Raw genomic sequence first — 12,565 nt, 5'->3', positions numbered from 1 at the left:
TGTTTAAAAAAAAAAAAAAGAGAGACATGGGGTCACACTAGGTTCCCCAGGCTAAGAGTTTAAGAGGTCAAGAGATCCCTCCCTCCCTTCCTTCCATGTTTTTATTTTTCTTTCTTTCTTTTTGGTCAGTGGATATACTTCAAGGAAAAGGGGTACTTTCTCTAATGGGACAGTTACAATTTTTTTTCCTCCAGAGAGGCTCAGTTCAGTGTCATCAGAGTTAGGGGCCTCCTCCATGGCAATAGTTCCTTCATAGGGTTTAAGGATCTCTAGCCTATGTCAGGTTTAAACTAACCCCTTTGTTATGCCACTGGGGAATCATGGATATTGTCCCGTCTATGCCCCAGGGTCAGGATATTTGTTGTGATAAAGGTACCTGAAGCAGCAGCAGCAGCAGCAGAGGTCCTTAAGGTCCTGGTGAGCCCTTTGCCTTTTGGGGTGTGGACTCAGTGCGCCACCTGATGGCTGCCTTTCCTCCCTTTCTCTCTCCTCTTTAAATGACTACTGTTTCAGGAGCACCTCTTGTACAGGGTGTATATAGTCCACCCTCCCGCTGCACCCTGGCACCCTGCACACCGGGCCAACCCAGCATCAGGCACAGCTTCACTCTAAACACACAGATAGATCCAGCATCAATTGAAGGAGGGGTCCAATAGCATAGTCCTACTCTTAAATGCCAAAGAATTATTTTTAAAAAGGCAGACTCAGTCAGTTGAATATAGAACCCATACTTGGTAGGGCTCAACATGCAACACAGAGCAGCACACTCGAAGCACCAGCTTTCTAGCCAGCAGTAGCTCACTGGACATGTTGGCCATCAGGCAGGACAGTGGGTTAGCAAGTCAGAGCAAGAGAAGATCTACAAAAATAACTCGGGCGTGGTGATGCACACCTGTAATCCCAGCTACTCAGGAGGCTGAGGCAGGAGAATTGCTTGAACCTGGGAGGCAGAGGTTGCAGTGAGCTGAGATCACACCACTGCACTCCAGCCTGGGTGACAGAGCAAGACTCTGTCTCAAAAAATAATAATAACAATAATAATTAAAAAAATAAAGGCCAGGTGCGGTGGCTCATGCCTGTAATCCCAGCACTTTGGGAGGCCAAGGCAGACAGATCACGAGGTCAGGAAATTGAGACCATCTTGGCTAACATAGCGAAACCTCGTCTCTACTAAAAATACAAAAAATTAGCTGGACGTGGTGGCACATGCCTGTAGTCCCAGCTACTCAGGAAGCTGAGGCAGGAGAATCGCTTGAACCCGGGAGGCAGAGGTTGCAGTGAGCGGAGGTCGTACCACTGCACTCCAGCCTGGGCAACAGAGCGAGACTCCATCTCAAAAAATAATAATAAAGAGATGAAGGACCCACAAGTGGTGATCAGTGTCTGGACAACATGCTCACGGCACCAATCATTGTGGTCACCTTCAGAGACATAGTTCTGACAAAACTGATGATGGTCTGGCACTCACAGAGGGGGTATTAAAAGGCTTATTGCTCACATTGTTGAGATCTTGGGAAGAGCAGGACAGACCCATCAAGCATAACTGAAATGGCCTGAGAGAGCAAAGAAAGGAGCCTGGCCTGGTTGTTTACTGTGGTTGGGGTAGAGTTGGGCACAAGATCCCCTGTATGGGCATGTAGTTACATGGTTTAAATCTCTTGCCTATGACAGAGAAGGGAGCCCTTAGACTCATCAGCTTGTCCAGGTGTGGTCACAAGGGAAAAAGGGAACGCTGAGTCTTAGGTTGTTAGCAAACATTAAATACGGATTCCGGGCCAGGTGTGGTGATTCGCGCTTGTAATCCCAGCAACTTGGGAGGCCACGGTGGGAAGATCATTTGAGGTCAGGGGTTTGAGACCAGCCTGGCCAACATGGTGAAACGCTGTCTTTACTAAAAATACAAAAATTAGCTGGGTGTGGTGGCACACGGCTGTAATCCCAGCTACTGGGGAGGCTGAGGCAGGAGAGTCACTTGAACTGGGAGGTTGCAGTGAGCCGAGATTGTGCCACTACACTCCAGCCTGGGCGACAGAGTGAGACTCTGTCTCAATAAATAAATAAATAAAATAAAATGCATTATGGATTTGGGCCTAATTTAAATATAGCAGGAGTTTCAAAGATTATATAAACTTTAGTAGTTTTCCTCACATCAATTAAAACAAGAATTCAACTGTGTTTTCCTCTTACCAACGGAATCAGGAAGTCATTTGTCTTAGCAACTGTATACCCTTTTAAATTTCAAAGTTCTTTATGGACAATCACATACAAAAACTGATCTAAAAATGAAAAAAGTACCTGAGAACTTAAACATACTCATCTCGTATCTTGAGGTTCTCTGGCCTCAAGAAACAAACATTTTGTTTAGTTCCAGAATTTTCTTGCTTACTCCCACCATATCTAACAACCTTCATTTTCAAAGTGAAAGAAACTAAAATCTTACACACTGACACAGGCAATAAAATTATAAAATAAGGGAAACCAGAGTTGAAGGGCCACAATGCTCAACAGATAAAATAATCCAAAGGAAACATAAATATTCTAATTAGCTCAGATAAGCAGGCTGCTTCCCCACAATTCACAAGGAAAACCCACATTCAAGAGGTTAAACACCTTAACATGCTTGAGGTCCATGCTCTCCCTCTGACATGTAACTTCTAGAGTGGAATAGTCCCTGGTGATGAAGGGAAGAGACACTTGAGTAGCCACAGGAATGAACTCTGGGAGCTCCGTACACCCTAACTGGCCCCTGGCAGTGTGAAAATACTTCCTCTCCCAGGCTTCAATTCTTGGGCAGAAGAAACTCTCAGCTGGATTTACTTTAAGGTTCTGGCCCAAAAATAACCTCCGAAATTCATTAACCCTGTGTCCTGGAGACAGCACTCCTGAACTTCACATGCTTTCTCAGTATGTAAGAATTATACTCTGAATGTGGCAACATTGTGAATGCAAAACAAACCTCATGTCTAAAAAACACGCCCAAGAAAACCACAATTACAACCTCAGAAAGCAACCCCTCCACCCAAAACATGTGCATGTGGATCCCCAGCTTTCCAGTGCTCTGTGGCTTCTCTTGGTATAAAGGGCTTAATGGTATGAACAGGGAGGCTCCCCAAGAAGAACCAACAGGGCCTTTAATTACTGCTCTTGGCAGGCTCAAGGGTGGCCTTAGCTTGGGCAGTGATGTTACTTTGGACCACCACTGATATTGTATTTTTATTTTATTGTAAAGACAGGATTTTGCCATGTTGCCCAAGCTGATTTTGAACTCTTGGACTCAAGCAATCCTCCTGCCTCATGAGCCACCCAAAGTTCTGGGATTAGACATGAGCCAACACAGCCAGCCTAAACAGATACTTTAACTGAGACAAACCCAATGTTTGAAGAATTCTGCAAAATCTCTCAAATCAAGTATTGATGTGTAAAGTGTTAAGAAAATTGTAAGGCACCTTAGCAAACCAGCCCTAGTCCCTGAAATCCACAAATGTCTATTGTTTGCAGAAAATGAAATGTCAGTTATTGGGCCGGGTATGGTGGCTCATGCCTGTAATCCCAGCACTTTGGGAGGCTGAGGCAGGCGGATCATGAGGTCAAGAGATGGAGACCATCCCGGCAAACATGGTGAAACCCCGACTCTACTAAAAATACAAAAATTAGCCAGGAATAGTGGTGGCGCCTGTAGTCCCAGCTACTCAGGAGGCTGAGGCAGGAGAATCACTTGAACCCGGGAGGCAGAAGTTGCAGTGAGCCAAGATTGCACCACTGCACTCCAGCCTGGTGACAGAGCAAGATTCCGTCTCAAAAAAAAAAAAAAAAAAAAAAGAAATTTCAGTTATTATTTCTATGGCAATAAATGTTCTCATAATCATATTTGGATACTTCTAGGTGTTGTATGGCTATGCTCTGAAATTCCATTTGAAATCACCACACAAAAAAGAACAGACCTCAGAAACTTACTACACAACCTAAGGCGAAGAAAAAAAGAAAAAAATGTTCACCAATTTCAGTGTAATACTGAAGTGTTTTATTTTTTATGAAATTCACCTCTTTCTTGCCTCTTTAAAATTTTTTATACTTTTGATGACATAATCTTAATATTTGTAAAAACCTAAAGACTCTACAGGAAAACTGTAAGAATAAACGAGTTCAGTAAAGTTGCAGGATACAAAATCAACAAAAATCAGTAGCATTTCTATATGCCAACAGTGAACAATGTGAAAAATACATTTAAAAAGTAACCCCATTTATAATAGCCACACATAAAATTAAATACCTAGGAATTAACCAAAGAAGTGAGAGCTCTTTATAATGAAAACTATAAAACACTGATAAAGGAAATTGAAGAGGATACCAAAAAAATGGAAAAACATTCCATGTTTATGGATTGTAAGAATCAATATTGTTAAAATGTCCATTTACCCAAAGCAATCTGCAGATTCAATGCAATCCCCATCAAAATACCAAGGATATTCTTCACAGAAATACAAAAAACAATCCTAAAATTGATATGGAACCCCAAAAGACACAGAATAGCCAAAGCTATCCTAAGCAAAAAGAACAAAACTGGAAGAATCACATTACCAGACTTCAAATTATATTACAGAGCTATAGTAACCAAAACAGCATGGTACTGGCATAAAGACATACACATAGAGCAACAGAACAGAAGGGAGAACCCAGAAACAAATCCACACAACTAGAGTGAACTCATTTTCAACAAAGGTGTGAAGAATACACACTGGGGAAAAGACAGTTTCTTCAATAAATGGTACTGGGAACTGGATATCCATATGCAAAAGAATGAAACTAGATCTTTATCTCTTGCCAAATACAAAAACCAGATCAAAATGGATTAAAGACTTAAATTGAAGACCTCAAATCAGGAAACTGCTACAAGAAAACATTGTGGAAAATCTCCAGGACGCTGGTCCAGGCAAAAATTTCTTGAGCAATACCCAACAAGCACAGGCAAGCAAAGCAAAAATGGACAAATGGGATCACATCAAATTAAAAAGCTTCCGCACAGCAAAGGATACAATCAACAAAGTGGACACAACGCAAAGAATGGGAGAAAATATTTGCAAACTACCCATCTGTCAAGGGATTAATATAACCAGAATATATAAGGAGCTCAAACGCTACAGGAAAAAAAGTCTAATAATCCAATCAAAAAATGCACGAAAGATTTGAATAGACAGTTCTCAAAACAAGACATACGAATGGCGAACAGGCATATAAAAAGGTGTTTATATGAAAAAGTGATCATCAGAGAAATGCAAATCAAAACTACAATGAGGCCGGGCACGGTGGCGCACGCCTGTAATCCCAGCACTTTGGGAGGCCAAGACGGGCAGATCACGAGGTCAGCAGATTGAGACCATCCTGGCTAACACGGTGAAACCCCGTCTCTACTAAAAATACAAAAAAAAAAAAAAAAAAAAAAAAATACAATGAGATATCATCTCACTCCAGTTAAAATGGCTTAAGTCAAAAAGGCAGGCAATAACAAAAGCTGGAGAGGACGTGGAGAAAAGGAAACCTTTGTATACTGTTGATGGGAATGTAAATTAGTACAACCACTATGGAGAACGGTTTGGAGGTTCCTCAAAAAACTAAAAATTGAGCTACCATATGCCATGCAGCAATCCCACTGCTGGGAATATACCCAAAAGAAAGGAAATCAGTGTATCGAAGGGATGGCTGCACTCCAGTATCTGTAGCAGCACTGTTTCAATAGCTAAGATTTGGAAGCAATGTAAGTGTCCCTCAACAGATGAATGGATTTTTAAAATGTGGTACAACTTTGGGAGGCCGAGGCAGGTGATCACCTGAGATCAGGGGTTCGAGACCAGCCTGGCCAATATGGCGAAATCCCGTCTCTACTAAAAATACAAAAATTAGCCCCGTGTGGAGGCACATGCCTGTAATCCCAGTGACTCGAGAGGCTGAGGCACAAGAATCGCCTGAACCCTGTAGGCGGAGGTTGCAGTGAGCCAAAATCACACCAGTGCACAGAGTGAGACTCTGCCGGGAAAAAAAAAAAAAAAGTGGTACATATAAACAATGGAGTACTATTCAGTCATAAAAAAAAAAGAATGAAATCCAGTCATTTGTAACATGGATGGAATTGGAGATCATTATGTTAAGTGAAATCAGCCAAGCACAGAAAGATAAACATCACATCTTCTCACTTATTTGTGGGATCTATTATAAAAATCAAACAAGCCGGCCACGGTGGCTCACGCCTGTAATCCCAAAACTTTGGGAGGCCAAGGCAGGTGGATCACGAGGTCAGGAGATCGAGACCATCCTGGCTAACACGGTGAAACCCCGTCTCTACTAAAAGTACAAAAAAAAGTTAGCCGGGCATGGTGGCGGGTGCCTGTAGTCCCAGCTACTCAGGAGGCTGAGGCAGGAGAATGGCTTGAACGCGGGAGGCGGAGCTTGCAGTGAGCCGAGATCGCGCCACTGGACTCCAGCCTGGGTGACAGAGAGAGACTCCATCTCCAAAAAAAAAAAAAAAGAAAGAAAATCAAACAACTGAACTCATGGACTTAGAGAGTAGGGTGGTTATTAGAAGCTGGGAAAGGTAGTGGGAGCCTGAGAGAAAGGAGAGGACAATTAATGGGTGGAAAAAAAAACCACACAGAACTGTACATTTTAAAATAACTTATAGAGTGTAACTGGATTGTTTGCAACTCAGATGCTTGAGGGGATATCCCTTTCTTCACGATGTGCTTATTTCACGTTGCATGCCTGCATCAAAACATCTCGTGTACTCCATAAATATATACACCTACTATGTACCCACAAAAATTAGAAATAAAAAATTATAATACTTTTAGTAGCTATTGATTATATACCTTTCAGATACATGAAGAAAATGACACACAAGTGAGTGGTCAAATCTTTTCAAGAATACAAAGTCAAGGACGGGCAGTGCCGACCTGAAACTGCTAAAAAAGACAGGTCACCCAGGGAAGTTTCCAAAGAGGAGCCCCAACCCAAGAGTTCCTGCAGTGTGTCTGTGCTCAGGAGAGATACTGGAAGGAGAGTCATAAGGATTTATGTAACAATTCCAGGTGGGTATTCTTTGCCTTCCTCCCATGTAAAATATCCGCAAACAAAAAATAAATCCGTTAAAACGAGTCATCCCTGGTTCTTCGGAAAAATGAGAAACACGGCGTCCGTGTGAAATGCACCAGAGGCCAAACAATTGACAATGACGCTGTGAACTGGAGAGGGGGCGTTAGACTTTGGGAATGCGGGAAGGGATCCGCAAACTTAGGAATTTACTGCCAGCCCCAGGAAGAGATAGTCTGGAGACAGGATTATGGATTTGACACCCTGCTTTCCATACATTTGGAAACCTCAAGGGAAGATGGGTGACCTTTATGGAGAAAGGAGGGACTGAGGATCACACAGAACACTGCTCCTCCCACGCACGAACCCCACACACGAGTCGGAATCCTCCCCATGACCCTCCCGGGGCTCCCGTGCAATCTGGGGAGACACGAGGCTGCGGCGTGCAGCTGCCCAGAGAGGGCGCCGAGGCTGAGGCCGGGGCCGCAGGCGTCGCGCAGGAACGGGACAGGATGCCCGGGGTCCCGGATGCCAGCCCAGCCCCACTCTGCGGCCGAGGGCACTGAGGGCCCAGCTGCGCCAGAGGGACCCGGGTCCCAGACCCCAGAGTCGCCGAGGGGAGCCCCGGGTCCCGCCACAGCCGGTTCCGGCCGGTTCCAACCTGTCCCTCCTCAGGTCTCGGGACACCGGCCCCGCACACTCACCATTTTCCGGCTTCCAGGTGTCTGGCCGTCCTCCCTCATCTCCTGTATGCAGCATTGGTCACAACGCGCGTAGCGGGAGATATTACTACGGTCAGGTGATAGTCGAGGTGCCCAGCAACCGCGCTGCGTAACGACGTACGACGCCCACCTCTTTTATGCCGCATTGCCCCACCCACCTTCCACGTGGCGCCTCTGATTGGACAGTTCACGAAGCCCCGCCCTCTTCACATGGAGTGACAGAGCTGCGAAAGGTCATGTCGCCGGGGAAACCCTGCTTCAGTCCGGGGGGAAACCAGTCCCAGCGAGGGGCAGTTGAGTAGAAGCCGAACTTGTTCCCAGCCTCTCGATGGACTCTGGCATCCTGTCGCAGCTGTTTCTGAACGCGGGGACAAAAGTGTGCGCGGCGAATTCCAGCCTCAGTTGCCAGATGTAGTGACCCTTTAAGGAACAAATCCACAGCAAGAGGGTCACCCAGGCAAGTCCAGATTGGAACAAGAGGGTCTGACTCCTCCGGGGGCCAGGGACTTGGCCTGAGTCTAGAGGGCACTCGTGGAACTGTGAGCTCCGTTCACAAACACAGACACTTTAAAAGTGACTTCGCCGTGTGTAATGAGTCTAGCTCCATTCTGACATTGACGGCTAACGGCATTGAGACCTCCACCCATTCCTTCCCCAATCCCCACACATTTACTTTAAATAAAGAATCCCTTGGCCTCCAGAGCCTTTTACACACAATCTCTTTGAACCCCACATCCCTAGCATGGATGCAAGGACGCTTATCAGACTAACCACAGCTGTGAGATATGTTCAATTAAACTCTGAAGTGTACATTTCACACTACAGGAAAATTTATTTTAAATAGGTTACAGATTGTGTTCGCAGAGAACTTTGAAATGTAAACGACTATGATATACCTAAGGTAATTGAATCCCTATTTTCACTGATACAAAAATGAACAATAAAAAGTGATGTAAATTAAGGTATATCTGGAAACTCTTAGTATGCTTAACAGATTAATCAAAAATCTGAAGTCATATTTATTTGAAAAGCTATATCAGAATAAAACACACTACACAATGCATCCCTTTTAAGTGTACAATTCAGTAAAGTATATTCAAAGATGCAAACAGATAATCACCACAGTCAATTATAGAACATTTTCTTTTTTTTTTTTTTTTGAGATGGAGTCTCACTCTGTTGCCCAGGCTGGAGTGCAGAATGCAATGGCGCGATCTCGGGTCACTACAGCCTCCGATTCTGGTGTTCAAGCGATTCTTCTGCCTCAGCCTCCAGAGTAGCTGGGATTATAGGCGCGCGCCACTGTGCTTGGCTGATTTTTGTATTTCTAGTGGAGACGGGGTTTCACCATGTTGGCCAGGCTGGTCTTGAACTCCTGACCTCAAGTGATCCACCTGCCTCAGTCTCCCAAACTGCTGGGATTACAGGCATGAGCCACGGCACCTGGCCTAGAACATTTTCTTTTTTTCTTGTTTGAGACGGAATCTCGCTCTGTCGCCCAGGCTGGAGTGCAGTGGCGCCATCTCGGCTCACTGCAAGCTCCGCCTCCCGGGTTCACACCACTCTCCTGCCTCAGCTTCCCGAGTAGCTGGGACTACAGGGCCTGCCACCACGCCCAGCTAATTTTTTGTATTTTTTAGTAGAGACGGGTTTCACCGTGTTAGCCAGGATGGTCTCGATCTCCTGACCTCGTGATCCGCCCGCCTCAGCCTCCCAAAGTGCTAGGATTACAGGCATGAGCCACCGCGCCAGGCCTAGAACATTTTCATTACCTCAAAAAAGAAACTCCTGGCAGGGCACGGTGGCTCATGCCTGTAATCCCAGCATTTTGGAAGGCCAAGGCAGGAGGATAGCTTGAGCCCAAAAGTTCATGACCAGCCCTGACAAAAGAGCAAAACCCCATCTCTAAAAGAAAAAGAAAAATTAATTGGGCATGGTGGTGCACACCTGTGTTCTCAGCTACTCAGGAGGCTGAGATGGGAGGATTTCTTGAATCCAGAAGTTTGAGAGTGCAGTGAGCCTTGACAGCCTGGGCTACAGAGCAAAACCCCATCTCTTAAAAAAGAAAAATTTAAAAAACAAACAAAAAAGCAAAGCGGCTGCTCTATTTTCCATTCTCACCAGCAGTGTATGAGGGTTCCAAGTTCTCCATATCCTTGACATGTGTTATTATCTCACTTTTTCATTCTACCCATCCTAGTGGGTTTGAAGTGGTATTTCCTTGCCTTTTTGTTTAGCATTTACTTAATGATGTCCAGCATCTTTTCAGGTCCCCTTGCTCAGTTGTTTATCTTCCTTAGAAAAATGTATATTCAGCTGGGTGCTGTGGCTCACACCTGTAATCCCAGCACTTTGGAAGGCCGAGGTGGGCCGATCACTTCAGCCTAGGAGTTTGAGACCAGCGTGGCCAACATGGCAAAACCCGTCTCGACTCAAAATACAAAAATTAGCCAGGTGTCGTGGCACATACCTGTAATCCAAGCTACTCCAGAGCAAGACCATGTCCCCTCCGCCTCCAGAAAAAAAGCTGTAAAACAGGCTCTGGCAGATCATTCAGGAAGTATTCTGAAAGGTTTTTGTCTTTTTGTTTTCTGGGTTTTTTTTGAGACGAAGTCTGGCACTGTCGCTGGAGGCTGCGGCAGGAGAATCACTTATACCAGAGAAGTGGAGGTTGCAGTGAGCCAAGATCGCATCACTGAACTCCAGCCTGGGCAACAGAGCAAGACTCTGTCTCACAAAAGAAAAAAAAAAAAGAATTACTAGGGCCGGGCGCGGTTGCTCATGCCTGTAATCCCAGCACTTTGGGAGGCCGAGGCCAGTGGATCACGAGGTCAGGAGATCGAGACCATCCTGGCTAACACGGTGAAACCCCGTCTACTAAAAATACAAAAAATTAGCCGGGCGTAGTGGTGGGTGCCTGTAGTCCCTGCTACTCGGGAGGCTGAGGCAGGAGAATGGCGTGAACCCGGGAGGCGGAGCTTGCAGTGAGCTGAGATTGCGCCACTGCACTCCAGCCTGGGTGACAGAGCAAGACTCCGTCTCAAAAATAAAAAGAATTACCAAGGGTAGAATTAAGTTCACCTCTTCACTATATCAAATACAGAGAAATTTTTTGCTTCCTTAAATAGGAATCAAGCAACCAAAAAGCAGCATAAGTTCTGCAATAAATTCTTTTAAATACCCTCTTATTGATACACCTTACAGTCATTACTGGTTTGTGGTGGTATTTATTATTTTTTTATTTTTTGAGAGAGTCTCACTCTGTTGCCCAGGCTGGAGTGCAGTGGCGTGCTTGGCTCACTGCAACCTCCACTCCCAAGTAGCTGGGATTACAGATGTGCACCACCACACCAGGCTAATTTTTGTATTTTTAGTAGAGACAGGGTGTTGCTATGTTGTCCAGGCTGGTCTCCAATTCCTGGCCTCAAGTGATCTGCCCGCATTGGCCTCCCAAAATGCTGGGATTACAGGGTGAGCCACCGCGCCCGGCCTGTGGTAGTATTTATTACCACAATTTATTACACCCTGCTTGACAACAGGGACGTCCCTGATAGTCCTTGGAAAGAAATCACTCACAACATGATTTGACTTTTGGTATTATGCATATGAAAAACTACTATCATCATAAAAGTTGTAATCAAATAAGCATGAAAACTAAAATTTATGAGGAAAAAAAGGCCTGAAGTTGTAAGCTCACAGTAATATTGACTCACAATGTTGGACAAATAGCTTAATTATAAAGTTTATCGGATCCATGATTGGAATGGGATATTTTAATATATATTCTCAATAAATACAAAACTCACCAGACAGTATGCAAGTTGCTTGCATACTGTTAATATTTCTAAGAAATGTGTAGAGAACTTTTGTTTGAGGAGGACATGTATATTGTTTGTAATCATATGTACTCAAACATAATTCAAAATAAACTGAGGGACTGCATTCAGCTATGAGTAACAGGAAACACCCACAATGTTTCTATAATGAATAAGGTGCTTATTCTCACATGAAAGAACGGGGTGAGACCCATCTCTGCATAATGCAGCAGAGGAACAAGCTCCATGTAGGGTTTTTCGTTTTGTTTTTGGATAGTGCCATTGTAGCTCTCAACCTGCATCAGTAACACTCACTGTCCCTATGGACAAAAATGTTTATGTACAAACTGGACCGTACAGGAACCAAGTCAGATCATCAGACTATTCCCAACAATGACAATATGAACTGATTACTTGGCAGATATATTAGGGCCTTCAGGAATATCCAAATGGCAGCTGAATCTTTGATATGAAGCTTTTAAAAACATCTATGGAAATCCATAACTTTGAGAACATGGAGGTGAAGTAGCTAGTGGTGGATTAGAGGATACTCTTTTTTTTTTTTTTTTTTTTTTTTTTGAGACAGGGTCTTACTCTGTACTCTGTCACCCAGGCTGGAGTGCAGTGGCATGATCTTGGCTCACTGCAACCTTCACCTCCCTGGCTCAAGCGATTCTCCTGCCTCAGCTGGGACTATAAGCACGCGACACCACACCCAGCTAATTTTTGTATTTTTAGTAGAGATGGGGTTTCACCATGTTGACCACGCTGGTCTCGAACTCCTCACCTCAGGTGATCCGACCGCCTTGGCCTCCCAAAGTGCTAGAATTACAGGTGTGAGCCAGCACACCCGGCTGAGGATACTCTTGATTGGCAGGGCAAAGAATCAGGAAAATGGGCTAGATGACCATGTCCAAACAGCCCATATGCATCTGTCTCTCCGTATGA

General features: G+C 44.6%; 1 pseudogene across 2 annotated transcripts in view; it reads right to left on the bottom strand.

The window, feature by feature from the left end:
• The window catches only part of LOC100289333 (uncharacterized), a 43,633-nt pseudogene extending 35,720 nt beyond the window's left edge, over positions 1-7,913 (bottom strand). For both annotated transcript variants that reach the window (NR_171708.1, NR_104179.1), the window contains exon 1: positions 7,785-7,913. The product of NR_171708.1 is annotated as an uncharacterized LOC100289333, transcript variant 2 (transcript). The remainder of the gene's footprint in view (positions 1-7,784) is intronic.

The sequence above is a fragment of the Homo sapiens genome, chromosome 19 (assembly GCF_000001405.40).
Source record: "Homo sapiens chromosome 19, GRCh38.p14 Primary Assembly".
Taxonomy (NCBI): Eukaryota; Metazoa; Chordata; class Mammalia; order Primates; family Hominidae; genus Homo; species Homo sapiens.
The sequence above is the reverse complement of the archived record's forward strand: the minus strand, read 5'-3'. Positions and strand labels throughout refer to the sequence as shown.